This window comes from Homo sapiens, chromosome 6 (assembly GCF_000001405.40).
Source record: "Homo sapiens chromosome 6, GRCh38.p14 Primary Assembly".
Taxonomy (NCBI): domain Eukaryota; kingdom Metazoa; phylum Chordata; class Mammalia; order Primates; family Hominidae; genus Homo; species Homo sapiens.
Window position 1 is genome coordinate 2,984,798 of NC_000006.12, and position 15,096 is coordinate 2,999,893.

Consider the following 15,096-nt stretch of genomic DNA (forward strand, 5'->3'; position numbering starts at 1 on the left):
TTTTCCATAACAAGAGAAGCTCATCTTCTTATCTGGTCTGGAATCACTTGGGTGACATTTCAAAATGCAAATTAAGAGCCAGGTGGGCAGGTCCCCAATGCGTTGGGATGGGCCGCAGCTGACTGGGCAGCCTCCCTTGAGCTCCCAGGACTTTGCCGAAGGGAGTGGCGTCCATTTGCATGAGGAGCTCAGGAAAACTGCTCCTCAGGTGCCGAGTTAGAGACACCTAGTGAGCTTCACCAGAGTAGTTTTGACCAGGGATACAACAAAGCTCCTAAAACTGAAAAAGCACGAAAACAAAAATGGTTGTGAACAGGGCTCAGCGATGACGAGGCTACATTCAGCCAGTGTGTGTCTGGTGCCATGGTAGACACACCCCTGGGATCCTGCCGCCCTGGCACAGGGGGTGCTCTGGGAGACAGAGGCTGGAATTGGACTGCATTGCAGCCAGGTGGCCTTGGAGACCCAGAAGGGTGCCTCCTTGGGCAAACTTAATGTTCCCCCTAAAGAGATCCCTTTGAAGATCCGCATGGCTTTCACACAAAGGGCGTGGGGTTTAGTTCCAAAACGTAGGCTTGGGTATTATAGAATAAAAGCAAAAGAGGGCACAAGATGTGCATTTTCATTATGTTTACTTAGTGAAGGGTGGGCAGACATTTTCATTATTTTTGGGTTTTTTGTTTGTTTGTTTTTGAGACAGAGTCTTGCTCTGTAGCCCAGGCTGGAGTGCAGTGGCAAGATCTTAGCTCACTGCAACCTCCGCCTCCTGGGTTCAAGTGATTCTCCTGTGTCAGCCTCCTGAGTAGCTGCGATTACAGGCACCCATCACCACGCCTGGCTAATTTTTGTATTTTTAATAGAGACGGGGTCTCACCATGTTGGCCAGGCTGGTATCAAACTCCTGATCTCAGGTGATCCACCTGCCTCAGCCTCCCAAAGTGCTGGGATTACAGGCATGAGCCACCGCGCCCGGCCCATTTTCATTATTTTTAAACAAAGGCGAGCAATTCACTTTCTGGGTGCCCACCTGAAGTAGAGAATCCCAACCCCTTACCATGAAAACAGATAATCTGTTCACTGAGCCCCAAGGACAAAGCAGCCAGGGTCGACTGAGGGGCTACTGCAGCCTTCCTCTCTGACTCCTCCCACCTAACCATTCCCTCAATACCTCAATACACACACTCCTTTCTTTCCCAAGTCTATTGCCTCTTCCAAAAGCAATGTAAGATCCGCCCCAGAACAGTGGGGAGTTCTTATCCTTTCCGTTACCTAAGCAACCTGAGGGCAAAGACCTTTAGATCACCGGCAGTGCTGTTCTTTGGGTAACTTGATCTTTGCTTATCAGCTTTAATAACTTTATTATACGAAATACCCAGCCTTGATGAAGTATCGATGACTCACTAACTGTGGTGTAACTAATTGTTTCATTCATTCTACAAACTTTTTTTTTTTTTTTTGAGACAGAGTCTCACTCTGTTGCACAGGCTGGAGTGCAGTGGCGCGATCTCAGCTTACTGCAACTTCCACCTCCTAGGTTTGAGCGATTCTCCTGCCTCAGCCTCCTGAGTAGCTGGGATTACAGGCGCGTGCCACCACACCCGGCTATTTTTTGTATTTTTAGTAGAGACGAGGTTTCACCATGTTGGTCAGGCTGGTCTCAAACTCCTGACCTCGTGATCTGCCCACCTTGGCCTCACAAAGTGCTGGGATTACCGGCATGAGCCACCGCGCCTGGCCTCATTCTACAAACTTTTATTCTGCACTCACTATAGGCTGGGAGCTACACTAGGGCCTGGGGACATGAAGACAGGCGACACGGTCCCTGGGCTCAAGATGCCAGACAGATGTGCAAACAAGTGAAATCTGATGTGATATGTGCTTTAGTGGTGCCAAGGATAAAAGGATAAGTGTTAAGAAAAAGTAGCAACAATATGTCTGACTGGGAGAATCAAGAAAGGTGTCATAGAGTCCCTAACACTTGAGCTGAGAATGAGAAAGAGCATGAGCTGGCCAGGTGACACACAGAGCATATTCCAACCTAGGAGACTGGGAAATGGGCCAAAATATATACGTTTGAGGAAACAAATAGCTTACTATATAATTAAATATGAGGCAGTTTAGACTGGGCCCTTATGGATAAGTCACACCCATAAATTTTATTTCATCTTACAGGCAGTGGAGAGCCTCTGGAGGATTCTGAGCTTCGTGGTCTCATCATCAGAGTTATGTATGGCAACCATCCCAACCTTTTTGGCACCAGGGAGGGGTTTTGTGGAAAACTATTTTTCCTTGGACAGCAGAGGATGGTTTCGGGATGATTCAAGCACATGACACTTCTTGTGCACTTTATTTTCAGTGGGAGCCCTGAGCTTGTTTTCCTGCAACTATCTGGCCCCATGTGGGGGTGATGAAGACAACGGCAGATTATCAGGCATTAGATTCTCATAAGGAGCGCACATCCTAGATCCCTTATGTGTGCAGTTCACAGTAGGGTTTGTGCTCCTATAAGAATCTAATGCTGCCTGATCTGATAGGAGGCAGAGCTCTGGTGGTAATGCAAGCAATGGGGAGCAGCTGCACATACAGATAAAGCTTCACTAGCTCACCCACTGGTGGCTCACCTCTTGCTGTGTGTCCTGGTTCCTAACAGGCTACAGACCAGTCAGGTCTGTGGCCCGGGGGTTGGGAACTCCTGGTGTATGGAAGAGACTACTCTGCAGCAATGTGGACAAATAGGATGAGGGTGAGCTGTCAGGGGAGACAGGCACACATGGCAGAGCTATTTAAAAAGGAGGATAGATGACCAGGCACAGTGGCTCATGCCAGTAATCCCAGCACTTTGGGAGGCAGAGGCAGGCGGATCACGAGGTCAGCAGTTCAAGACCAGCCTGGCCAACATGGCAAAACCTCATCTCTGCTAAAAATACAAAAATTAGCTGGGCGTGGTGACATGCGCCTGTAATCCCAGCTACTCAGGAGGCTGAGGCAGGAGAATCACTTGAACCCGGGAGGCAAAGATTGCAGTGAGCCGAGATCGTGCCATTGCACTCTAGCCTGGGCAACACAGCAAGACTCTGACTGGAAAAAAAAAAAAAAAAAAAGGAGGATAGACAGGGCTTGGGGATTGGTGGATGGGTAGATAAGGAAGGAGGAGTCTAGCATGACTCTCAGACTACTGACTTGGACCAGCAGGGGAATGGCTGTGACAATAAATAAGATTGGGAAAACAAGAAGGTGAGCAAATTTAGAGGAGAAAATGAATTTCATTTTTGGCATGGTGTGGAAGGCTCGGGAGAGAGGTCTAGGCACCAGATGTCAACGTGAGGTGAAATGGATATAGCTGAAGTCAAGGGTGTGGTGAGGTTTTGCAGGGAGAGCAGGGACCTCCAGCAAGGCCAGTGCATAAGGGAGAATAGAGAAAAAAAGAACCAGAAAAAGACAAGGAGAGGCCAGAGAGGTGTGGAAAGAACCAGGGAAGACAGTTATTCACAACAAACAAAAGAGGGCAGAGTTTTAGAGAAGGAACTGAGCAGTTTGGGGCTCCAGGTGGGGCAGGAGTGGGTGGCCACGGTTGAGGGGCAGTGGCCTTCAAATTGGTCTGGGTAGGTTCTAATGGGTCAGATTGGTCAGTCCTTTCCAGGACACTGAAGGCTGCAGAGGTGTGACTGGATGCTGGTGGAGGGATGCATGGCGGGGAAGCTGAGTCAGATCCTGAAATCCTCCAAGCATGCGCCTGAAATGACCAAGGGAAATGAAGGCGGAGGCTGCTGTCGCCTGGTGGCCTGGGAAGGGCCAAGAGCCAGGGAGCTGGAGGGAGGAGAGAACGTGCGACCTCAGCACGGAGCACTGTAGGGGAGGCGGGGCTGGAGGGAGATGGCGCCGCGCTCCCGGATGAACAGAGAAAGCGACAGGGTGAGTCGCAGGGCACAGTGTGGGATGAGTCACCGACAGCAAGGCATGGACTCCGGGAAGAAGGGGAGACGAGCCGGGAAAGACTTGCATCGGGGATGTGAGCTGAGCTGCACCCAGACAAAAGCGGCTCGGGGCTCCTGAAAGCAGCAGGCACCGCCGGTCCTGCCAAGGGGCTACTTCCTGCGCGGAGTAGGAGAGTAGGAGACCCCAGGCCAGTCCCAATCCCCGGCCCGTCCGGGATGAGGGGGGCTGCGGGAGCTGCGGGGGCCTCCTCCAGGGAGGACGGTTGCAGGGTCCCTCGGCCGCCGCCCACTCCCGGGGGCGTTCCTTCCTCCCAGCTGCGCCCGGAGCGCCTGCTGCCTGGCGAGAGCCCGCCCCTCTGCAACCAGCCCGCTGCAGCGGAGGGCGCCTGGGTGCCCTCGGCCGAGCCAGCAGCCCACGGTCGGCGCCGCACTGTCCCCTGGTGGCGGAGCGCTCCCGCGACCCGGCTCGCCACGCCTGGGAGGGGTCCAGGAGGACGCGGCTGGGACCTGGGGGCTCTCAGGGTGGGGCCTTGGGGGATGAGGCTGGGGCCCGCGGGAAACCGGGCTGGGGCGAGGAGGCTCGCAGGACTTCCTGCCACAGAATGTTTCGATGCTTTTTTTAATTCTGCAAATGTAAGCCTTTCCACTTTAAGTCCAAGCTCAGCGCAGAGGACTGTTCTATAATACATACAATTTAGTTTAAAAATGTTGCAAATGTTAACATGTGTCACAAACTCAAGCAATCCAGTATTATAGAAAGCAAAGAATGAAATGTGCTGCTTCTTTCTCCCCCAGACGCCCTTGCATACATTAAGATATGTATATATGGAAATGTTACCGGGAGTCCCGGTTATCCCAAAAAGGGTTGTTTCCTGTTGCGTGGTGAGGCCAATGCACGAAACCGAAAGGGAGTGTGTCAAGCAGTGCAGGCTGTATTCAATGGCTATGGAATTGGAAGATCTGAAATCAACTTAGCTTGTGAGAGCTGGGAAGTTTCAGAGGTAGGGTGTCTTTAATGAAGGGGCTGGGCATTAAGAGCACGGGGGGGAATATTCGTGCTTTCCTTGGGAAAGAACGGAGATTTTTCCCGGAATCAAGAAACCCCTTTTTTTCTGTCCCTTCTTGGTCTCTTCCAGTCGTTGTCATGGCGACATGTTGTTTAGCATGAGAACAGGATGATGATAAAGCCAGAGGCTCTTCAGAGGCGCCATCTTGGATTTCGCCAGCTTCAGCTGGTTTCGTCCTAAGAAGGAACTTCGAAACACAGGCATTCTTTTTCCTGAAAATAAGCAGAGTTACAGCTGAGTAGGAATTTAGCTCTGTCCCATATGCTATCGCATTGGGCAGCAAAAGCAGGGTGGGGTCCAGCGAAATCAGCAGGCACTGCAATGAGTAACATACCCAGCCACGTTTATGCAGCATTTTTACGAAAATGAAACCATACTACCTGTAAAGGAAGATATGCTAACAAACAACAAAACTGGCAGGAACCAAGATTCCTACTGACACTACCCTTAGTTTTAATTTTCCCTGACAACAAATGAGGTTAACAGAGCATAATTATCTACCGTGACCCCTTCAAAAAGACAGGCTGTATACATTTGCACTAAGAGAAGAAATCGTGTAATGTCAGCAAATTTCCCCCACTTAAAGCTTCTCTATTTAAAAAGCTTCACGCACACATGCACGCATATGTCTTCAAGATGACCACAATTTATTTTGCAGTCATTCTTTGCACCAGTTCCCAATTTTTCCCACTAGCTTGCAAGCTCCGTGACTCGAGGAGACCGGGGGATCAGAGTTTGTTTTTGCGGAGAAGTGAGTCCTTTATGCCCCAAATAGTGACTGACATAGAGAAGGTACTCAGTAAACACTTTTTAAAGGAATGCCTGCCTGACTGAAGCTTAATGATGTGAGGCTTCTAGTGGGATACCCTACCTTGTTTTAACCTGAAGTGACTCTTCCTTAGCTAAGAGAGCCAGACGGACTCCATCGTGACTCCTTCACTCGCAGCCCCTTACCCACCCCCTTCCTCAAGGACTTAACTTGTGCAAGCTGACTCCCAGCACATCAAGAATGCAATTAACTGATAAGATACTGTGGCAAGCTATATCCGCAGTTCCCAGGAATTCGCCCGGTTAATAGCACCCAGAGCCCCTGCGTTTGTGTCCGGTTGATAACGCCCAAAGCCCGGCGTCCATCACCTTAGGATAGACTTAAAGCCTCTGCACCTGGAACTGTTTACTTTCCTGTAACCGTTTATCCTTTTAACTTTTTGCCTACTTTACTTCTGTAAGATTGTTTCAACTAGACTCCCCCTCTCCCCTGTCTAAACCAAAGTATAAAAGAAAATCTAGCTCCTTCTTCGGGGCCAAGAGAATTTCGAGCGCTAGCTGTCTCTCGGCTGCCGGCTAATAAAGGACTCCTGAATTCGTCTCAGAGTGTGGCGTTTCTCTGTAACTCGCTCGGTTACAACACTAGGTTAATCTTTTTCCTTTAACTGTTTGTTTAAAATATATTATGTTTAAGACCTTCTAACTGGTCAGCCTCCAAGATAGTATTGTGCTGGGCTTGCTTTATTCTGGTTTGGTTTCCATGATCCCAGTTCATGTGTTACCTGCTTCTCTTTTGAATTCACAATGATACACAACTTTTAATTTGTTAGAACACAAACATAAGGAATTTTTTTTTCCATTTTAATGTGAGATATGACAGAGGCAAATTGTTTCTTAAAGACATAAAATAATTAAAATAATTACATAAATTGTAATAAAATAATTATTACAATGTTCTATCTTTGGCATTAAGGCATAGAACAATTTTTTAATCCTAAACTAGGCTGGGCATGGTGGCTCACTCCTGTAATCCCAGCACTTTGGGAGGCTGAGGCTGGTGGATCACTTGAGGCCAGGAGTTGGAGACCAGCCTGGCCAACATGATGAAACCCTGTCTCTACTAAAAATACAATAAAAAATTTAGCCGGGTGTGATGGCGCTCACCTGTAGTCCCAGCTACTCAGGAAGCTGAGGCACCAGAATCGCTTGAACCCGGGACGCGGAGGTTGCAGTGAGCTGAGATATAGCGCCGCTGCTCTCCAGCCTGGGCAACAGAATGAGACCCTGTCTCAAAGTAAATTAAATAAATAAAATCCTAAACTGTAGGACCAAGATTTGATTCAGAAAAGAGACTTTCTTGTACTAATTTATACACTGTTCATGTCAGATCCAATCTTTCTTTTTATTAGATGAATCTGGAAAAGCAACTTAGAATAATTCAATCAGTCTAAAAGAATAACAGCTGATGAGATGCAGTCAATAAGCAGTTTTGTATTAGTATTTTTATAAGAAATTAGAAAAACATGATTTTGGGGGAGATCTTCTCATAGTTAACAGCACATATAACATATAAGTTAGAAATGTACTCTGCTAGCTCATAAGATTTTAAAGCAGGGATTTTAGTGTCATTAAACTTTTATTTATAATAGTTTTTTTAATACAATTTTTTTTTTTACTTTGGAATAACTTTAGATTCACAGGAAAGTCAGATAATACAGGTAGTTACCATATTCCCCTAACACAGTTTCCCCTAATGGTAACATATCACCATGGTAGTGTTGTGAATTCTTATGTTGGGTTGCCTCCACATCCATTTTGAATATACATTGGACTTTCCCACACCAAAATCAAGGCTCAGTCACCCCGGACAAAGTTGCTGGTTCTCCACCTTCTCCCAGTTCTGTTATGTGGTGGATCCAGATATCTGCCTCATACAACTATCTCCTGTTGACCACTTCTCTATGGCACAGCTAGAACCTATTGGCCACACTGACCCTCACACCCCACCTAGAATGTGCAGATGCGCCACAGGGCCCACCACTCAGTCACTGTGCCACCTCCTGGAACTCATGCCTGCTTGCTGTAAACCCACCGAATAAAACTCCCCATGGGAAACCTGTTTGGATAACACCCTGGACCCAATAAAGGTGTTGGCCCATGGGTTGCTGTCTTGGTCTCTCTGCCTGCACTCCCTGATTTCCATGAAGGTGGCCTCCAAGTATGCCATGTGCCCCAGGATCTGTAAGTAATAAACTATTTCTAGCCTGTGTCTCTCCTAATCGTTGTAGGGGTGCTCCGCATCTTGAAGATCTTAAAGTAAAACAGATACATTTGTGGAAACTAAGGTCCCAACGTTGTACATTACTATTAACTCCAGGCTTCATTTGGGTTTCAGTTTTTTCATTAATATCAGCCTAAGTTTTTAAAAAATAGTCAGCCGAAAAGAAGGATTTAATTTTATGTGGTAATTTCTGCACAAACATAATATTCTTGAGAAACATCTTGTCTATCAATAACATGTTTAACTATATATTATATCAATATGCTCAAGAAATCAGGCCTTGGTAAAGATTTTTCTTTTTTTTTTTTTTTTTTGGGACGGAGTCTCGCTCTGTCGTCCAGGCTGGAGTGCAGTGGCACGATCTCTGCTCACTGCAAGCTCCGCCTCCCGGGTTCAGGCCATTCTCCTGCCTCAGCCTCCCGAATAGCTGGGACTACAGGCACCTGCAACCACGCCCGGCTAATTTTTTGTATTTTTAGTAGAGACAGGGTTTCACCATGTTAGCCAAGATGGTCTCGATCTCCTGACCTCGTGATCCGCCCGCCTTGGCCTCCCAAAGTGCTGGGATTATAGGTGTGAGCCACCGTGCCCGGCCCCAAGATTTGTCTTTACTAAGTAATGCATGTGAAATATAATAACTGACAATGATAATACAGTGACCAGGTAACTCAAAAATTATAAGTCATTCAATTGAATAACATAGTGTTTTTGAAATGTAAAAAGATAAATATAAATAATAAGTCATATTAAGACAAAATTTATTTAACTGATAAAAGTAAAATTTGTTATTCTCTCTAGCTGTATAGATAAGACAGGATCTCTATAGTGCATTATTTCAAGACTTACTTAGTAGGAAAACCAGTAGGTTTGATTTTTTTTTAAATGCCACTTTGGTTTTAAAGCACTCGCTTTGTCCACTAGTTTTCTAGATCTGAGTATTGGCTATTAATGACATATTTCTAAATTATACACATCAATAATGTGACAATAGCTTCAGGTCAGGAACTACTGTGTGATTTAGATGTTTGTTCCTTCCAAACCTCATGTTGAAATTTGTTTCATCTTTTTTCTTGTTTTCATAGATAAGGGCCTCGCTCTGTTACCCAGGCTGGAGTGCTGTGGTGTGTTTGTGACTCACCGTAGCCTTGAACTCCTGGGCTCAAGCAATCCTCCCACCTAAGCCTCTGGAGTAGCTGGGACTACAGGTGAGCACCGCCAAGCCTGACCTCAAGTTGAAATGTGATCACCAATGTTGGAGTGGGGCTTAATGGGTGGTGTTTAGGTTGCAGGGCCAGATCCTTATGAATAGATGAATGCCCTCCCTCAGGGGTGAGTGAGTTCTTCCAGAGCTGGTGGTTAGAAACAATCCTTGACCTCCCTCCTTTCTCTCTTGCTTACTCTCTTGCCATGTAATCTCTGCACACTCCAGTTCTCCTTCACCTTCCTCCATGAGTAGAGGCAGCCTGAGGCCCTCACCAGATGCAGATGCCCAACCTTGAACTTTCCAACCATTCAGAGTCATTAGCCAAATAAACCTTTTATCTTTATAAATTACTCAGCCTCAGGTATTCCTTTATAGCAACACAAAACAGACTAAGACAGGAACCTACACTCCTTAGAAGAAGGCCATATGATATAAGGGTGTTGAGTCTAAGATTTTAGTGTCTACACTTCGTCTTACATTTTCCATTCTTTCCATTTTCACAAGTCCTATGATACAGTTGAAAATCTTTCCTACGCACTAGTAAAGCCATAGGAACTTAAAATTATTAAGTGTCAAGCACATATGAAAATCAGACAATGTGCAAAGAAAAACGGGCTATGTGTTGCATGAGAACGAGGAACTAATGTTCAGTTTAGGGATATGAACTGTTCAGAAACTTGGTCTGATCAAAGTTATGTCAGCCTTAATAGTAATCTGACTGATAAACAACTAATACTTGAAAGACGGTACTGATATGGACTATTTCACCTGGAGATTGTTTACTTGATAACTTTTTTTTCAAGTTCTGCAAGGTGATTTAACATCCAAAAATATATAGTCAATCCTGGGTATTCATGGAGGACTGGGACCAGGACCCCTCAAATATATCAAAATCCACAGATGCTCAAATCCCTGATATAAAATGGCATAGTATTGACACATAACCTTTGCACAGCCTCCCATATACTGTAAATAATCTCTAGATTACATATAGTACCTAATACAATGTAAATGCTATATAAATAGTTGTTACACTGTATTTTTATTTGTATTTTTTTATTGTTGTATTGCTTTTTCTTTCAAATATATTCCATTGGAGGTTGGTTGAATCAGCAGATATGGAACACACAAATACAGGAGGACAACTATATCTAAATCTAGATTAATGTAAGCGGTGAGAAAATATTTTATCTCCGTCTAAGTAGGTCCTACCAGAGGGGAAACTAGACTCACTCAAAGATTGCTTTGATCAATCCACACACAGTTCAGTGATGGACAGAGTGTCAGTATCTGTTATATGTGTCACTATCCCATGCTAGAGGTGTCAATAGATTATGTAACCTTTCTGAGGAATCACAATACAATAATTGATAATAATATTGATCACATAAACATAGACTTCCTTGACACAGGATTGCCACAGACCTTCAATTTGTAAAAAAAAAAAAAATGCAACATCTGTGGAAGTACTATAAAGAGAAGCAGAATAAGGCAGATATGCCTGTATAAGACTAAGGGAGAATCTTAAAAGCTGCAAGAGATGTACAAGGGATCCTCAATAAATCCATACATCTGTGGCCAGTGAATTTTTGACAAGAGTGCCAAGTCCATTCAATGATGAAATAATAGTTTCTTTAATATATGCTGTGAGAGAAATGGATTTCCACATGCAAGACTAAAGTTGGGCTCCACTTCACACCATATGTGAAAAATAATTCACAACCTAAATATAAGAACTAAAGCCATATAGAGGAAAACGTAAGAGTAAATCTTCATGATCTTGTGTTTTGGGTTCTTAGATAAGACACTAAAAGCCCAGGAAGAAACAACAAAAAATAGGTAAATTGGAGTTCATAAAAAATGTGAAACTTTTATATCAAAGGACATTTTCAAGAAAGTGAAAGACAACCTACAGAATGGGAGAAAATATTTGTAAATCCTATGTCTGATAACATCCAGAATATGTAAAGAACACCTACAACTCGGCCGGGTGCGGTGGCTCACGCCTGTAATCCCAGCACTTTGGGAGGCCGACGTGGGCGGATCACCTAAGGTCGGGAGTTTGAGACCAGGCTGACCAACATGGAGAAACCCTGTCTCTACTAAAAATATAAAATTAGCCAGGCGTGGTGGCGTATTCCCGTAATCCCAGCTACTCGGGAGGCTGAGGCATAAGAATCACTTGAACCCAGGAGGCGGAGGTTGCGGTGAGCCGAGATCTCGCCATTGCACTCCAGCCTGGGCAACAAGAGCAAAACTCCGTCTCAAAAAACAAACAAAAAACCTACAACTCAACAACAAATAGACAAACAACCCAATTAAATGGTCAACAAAGGACTTGAATAGACATTTCTCCAAGGAAGGTATACAAATGGCCAGTAAGCACATGAAAAGATGCTCAAAGTCATTAGTCCTTAGGGAAATGCAAATCAAAACCACAATGAGATACCACTTCGCACTTGCTAGGATGGCTATAATTTAGAGGGAAAAAAAAGAAACATAACAAATGTGCGTGAGAATGTAGAGAAGTTGGAACCTGTGTACATTGTTGGTGAAAATGTGAAATGGTGTAGACGCTGTGGAAAACAGTTTGGCTGTTCCTCAGAAAGCTAAACATAGAATGACCATAGAATTGTAATACCGACAATTCCACTCCAAGGTGTATAACCAAAATTATTGAACACAGGGACTGAAACAGATACTTGTACACCAATAATCATTGCAATATTATTCACAATAGTCAAACAACAGATGAGTGGATAAACAATGCCTGGTACCCTTCCTTCCTTCCTTCCTTCCTTCCTTCCTTCCTTCCTTCCTTCCTTCCTTCCTTCCTTCCTTTCTTTTTCTTTCTCTCTTTCTTCTTTCTTTTCTTTCTGTCAGTCTTGCTCTTGTTGCCCAGGCTTGAGTGCAATGACACAATCTCAGCTCACCGCCACCTCTGCCTCCTGGGTTCAAGTGATTCTCCTGCCTCAGCCTCCCGAGTAGCTGGGACTACAGGTGCACACCACCATGCCCAGCTAATTTTTGTGTTTTTAGTAGAGATGGGGTTTCCCCACGTTGGCCAGGCGGTATACACATTTTTCTATTATTCGGCCATAAAAAGGAATGAAGTTCTGATGCATACTACAACATGGATGAAACTCAGCAACAAGGTTTTTGAGGAAAAAAAGCTTAGTGAAAAGGCCACATCTTGTAGGATTCCACTTATATGAAATACATGCAATAGACAAATTCATGGAGACAGAAAGTAGATTAGAGGCTACCAGGAGTGGAAGGAGGGGAGAATGGGGATTTATTATCCAATGAGTGCAGTGTTTCTATTTGTTTTTGTTTTTGTTTGAGACAGGGTCTCGCTCTGTCATCCAGGCTGGAGTGCAGTGCCACGATCTCAGCTCACTGCAGCCTCCGCCTCCTGGGTTCAAGCAATTCTCCTGCCTCAGCCTCTGAGTAGCTGGGATTACAGGTGTACACCACCTGGCAAATTTTTGTAGAGATGGGGTTTCGCCATGTTGGCCAGGCTGGTCTCAAACTTTTGACCTCAGGTGATCTGCATGCCTCTGCCTCCCAAAGTGCTGGGATTACAGGCGTGATCTATGGCCCCTGACCCAAGTGTTTCTATTTGGGATGATGAAAACGTTTTGAAAATAAATAGTTGTAATGGTTGCACAGCACTCTAAAGGTAATTTATGCCACTGAATTGTACACTTAAAATGGTGAAAATAGAAAATTTCATGTTATACAGATTTTGCTACCCAAAAAACAAAACAAAAAATCCAAAACCTTTATGTTATTATGAAGAAGCAGTTTTCCAAAGGAATAGGGATGCTGGTAGCAGAAGGGAAAGAAATCTCATTAAATAAAAACAAAAGCAATGACCTCTTCAGGAGGTGGCTCAGCTAGTTTAGCTTTACCTTAGCACCATGATGGTTCATTTTATTCAGAAATAGAAACATGGGGCGTTGGGGAGAAGAGGAGATGTGTACCTGCCTCACCTGCCTCCCTGCCCAGAATGCCGACTCCGACTCTTGCTTTCCACTAAGGCTGGGGATTAAATGAAAAGTGAGAATCTGGAAACCCCCAGAGATGATGTTTGTCGTTGGAGCTGATTTTATCTCATTTTAGTAGCATGACCTCCTCCTCAAACTCAGGATGCAATTATGGTCAATCTCATTAGTGTGCAGTAATTGCTCAGCCCCAATACCAGATTAGCAGGAAGTTCTGTTATTTTCCTTTTGAGGATGGGCTCCTACTGAACTGTCCTGGAATCTACCACCATTCAGGTTACAAAAGACCCAGGGAACTAGGCCAGTCCAGCTCCCAACCCCAAGCAGGGAGCAACTTGCTCAGTCCACGTTGTGATAGCTCCTCGCTGCCACAAGGTGGTGATGTTGCATCACACACGCGCATGATGGGCGCGCAGGCGCCAATGCTCCCAGGACCTGCTGTTCCATTCCTAAATGAAAGTTGTTCCCAGGATCTGGACTCACAAGACAAGGCAGCCTATTCCCTGCTGGGGAGCTCAGGGGCAAGAGGGCATCTCGGAGGGAGGGCACATTCTCACCTCTGAAGACAAGGAGAACATCATCAGCACATAGACCAATCCCAGCAGTGCACCTTAGGATGGGGAGGGCCACTGTGAGTTACAGCAAAATGAACGAATGAATGAACCAATAAATGTCTGAGAGGGAAAGTCCCAACGACCCTCAGGAGGTACAATCAAGAGTTGCAGTTATTTTCGTTAGGAACGTTCTAAACACAGGGGAAACCTTCCTTCCTTCTGCTCTATTGTTGGAGTGGGGCCATCCCGGGACACCAGAAATCAAGGAATTGAGTTTGGAGAAGGGACTTGGGGAGGTCACAGTGGCAGGTGACTGCCAAATGAGGTGGCAGAAGCCAGCAAGCGCTGGAAAAAGTCGGCCCAAACTGTTCACCAGCACCGCCCCCCATAACTCCCCACCGGCTCTGGTTTCAAGACTTTCCGTTTTCTAGGTATTTCCTTGGCCTTAAACCATTTTCCTTTAAACGAACTTTTTCTGTGAAGCCATCCGGTTTCCCCCGATAGTGGCATCTCACAAAGGACAATCCAGTATCCCAACAGCGTGTTGCGTTCCGCGGGACGCAGATTTCCTTCACAGGCACCCCCCGGGTTGCGTTTTTATAGCCACACCCACCCGCCCCCCTATCTCCTGGGCACTGCTAATGAGTCCTGCATTTCTCTCCTTTGGTCTTTGGATAAATGAACCATCCGTGCGTGACCTTTGCGAGGGCATCTTGCATAATACCAGTACACCAGCGGCGCCGTCGGTGAGTGACCTTTGGGACTGGTTTCTCTCACCAGCGTAACTCCCCGGGAGATCCGAGCAAGCTGATGAGTGTATCAGTGGCTCATTCTTTCTGTTGCACCACGGACCCTCATTCTGTAACCGGGATACCAGCCAGAGATGGGGAGCGGGAGGCGCAGGGCAGGGGCGTCCCTCCTCTCAGCACAGCCTCCCCGCGCTGGATTTCTATCAATCCAGTTTCCACCTGCCTGGAAGTCAGCAGGGTCCTCCCCAGTCCCAGATCGCCGGGCGAGGCCCCAGATGGACCTCAGGGGCGGGGAGTGGGCGGAGCTTAGGGGCCGAGGCGAGGTGTGGGTGGGGCGGGACGCCGCTGTGGAGGCGGGGCCTGGGCGCGGACGGGCGCGGAGCGAGGCACCGCACCGCCGGGGCGGGGAGTGGGCGGGGCTCGGGGGCGGGGCGGGGTGTGGGCGGGGCTCACGGGCGGGGCGGGTGAGTGGGCGGGGCCTCGGCGTGGTAGGCGCGCTGCGTAAAGAGGCCTGCAGTCCCGCGGCGCGGG

The 15,096-nt window shown here is 46.3% G+C and overlaps 2 long non-coding RNA genes across 6 annotated transcripts, besides 8 other annotated features; one reads left to right on the top strand and one right to left on the bottom strand.

Annotated features, from left to right (window-relative positions):
* Positions 3,112-3,921: an enhancer, noted in NCBI's record as "H3K27ac hESC enhancer chr6:2988143-2988952 (GRCh37/hg19 assembly coordinates)". NCBI's record gives its function as "activates a minimal SCP1, AML or CMV promoter by ChIP-STARR-seq in naive and primed H9 embryonic stem cells {active_cell/tissue: H9 hESC(naive and primed)}" and the evidence as "EXISTENCE:reporter gene assay evidence [ECO:0000049][PMID:30033119]".
* LINC01011 (long intergenic non-protein coding RNA 1011) lies at positions 3,170-6,374 on the top strand. The gene is made up of 3 exons (NR_026856.1): positions 3,170-3,234; positions 4,731-4,936; positions 5,072-6,374. It is a non-coding gene; the product is annotated as a long intergenic non-protein coding RNA 1011 (long non-coding RNA).
* Positions 3,922-4,731: an enhancer, noted in NCBI's record as "H3K27ac hESC enhancer chr6:2988953-2989762 (GRCh37/hg19 assembly coordinates)". NCBI's record gives its function as "activates a minimal SCP1, AML or CMV promoter by ChIP-STARR-seq in primed H9 embryonic stem cells {active_cell/tissue: H9 hESC(primed)}" and the evidence as "EXISTENCE:reporter gene assay evidence [ECO:0000049][PMID:30033119]".
* Positions 4,115-4,534: a silencer, noted in NCBI's record as "silent region_16838". NCBI's record gives its function as "represses an Ori minimal core promoter by ATAC-STARR-seq in GM12878 lymphoblastoid cells {active_cell/tissue: GM12878}" and the evidence as "EXISTENCE:reporter gene assay evidence [ECO:0000049][PMID:35858748]".
* On the bottom strand, positions 4,539-14,878 carry NQO2-AS1 (NQO2 antisense RNA 1). 5 transcript variants are annotated; one of them, NR_186365.1, is made up of 3 exons: positions 14,216-14,878; positions 13,820-13,872; positions 4,539-5,214 (listed from the first exon to the last, which is right to left on the bottom strand). It is a non-coding gene; the product is annotated as an NQO2 antisense RNA 1 (long non-coding RNA). The 5 variants fall into 5 exon arrangements; NR_186367.1 differs by lacking the exon at positions 13,820-13,872 and having other exon boundaries at positions 14,594-14,878; NR_186366.1 differs by lacking the exon at positions 13,820-13,872.
* Positions 4,732-5,541: an enhancer, noted in NCBI's record as "NANOG-H3K27ac-H3K4me1 hESC enhancer chr6:2989763-2990572 (GRCh37/hg19 assembly coordinates)". NCBI's record gives its function as "activates a minimal SCP1, AML or CMV promoter by ChIP-STARR-seq in naive H9 embryonic stem cells {active_cell/tissue: H9 hESC(naive)}" and the evidence as "EXISTENCE:reporter gene assay evidence [ECO:0000049][PMID:30033119]".
* Positions 5,105-5,264: an enhancer, noted in NCBI's record as "active region_23880". NCBI's record gives its function as "activates an Ori minimal core promoter by ATAC-STARR-seq in GM12878 lymphoblastoid cells {active_cell/tissue: GM12878}" and the evidence as "EXISTENCE:reporter gene assay evidence [ECO:0000049][PMID:35858748]".
* Positions 5,542-6,349: an enhancer, noted in NCBI's record as "NANOG-H3K27ac-H3K4me1 hESC enhancer chr6:2990573-2991380 (GRCh37/hg19 assembly coordinates)". NCBI's record gives its function as "activates a minimal SCP1, AML or CMV promoter by ChIP-STARR-seq in naive H9 embryonic stem cells {active_cell/tissue: H9 hESC(naive)}" and the evidence as "EXISTENCE:reporter gene assay evidence [ECO:0000049][PMID:30033119]".
* Positions 9,116-9,300: a silencer, noted in NCBI's record as "fragment chr6:2994147-2994331 (GRCh37/hg19 assembly coordinates)". NCBI's record gives its function as "represses an EF-1alpha promoter that drives an FKBP-Casp9 reporter gene in an ReSE screen in HepG2 liver carcinoma cells {active_cell/tissue: HepG2}" and the evidence as "EXISTENCE:reporter gene assay evidence [ECO:0000049][PMID:32094911]".
* Positions 14,846-15,095: a silencer, noted in NCBI's record as "silent region_16839". NCBI's record gives its function as "represses an Ori minimal core promoter by ATAC-STARR-seq in GM12878 lymphoblastoid cells {active_cell/tissue: GM12878}" and the evidence as "EXISTENCE:reporter gene assay evidence [ECO:0000049][PMID:35858748]".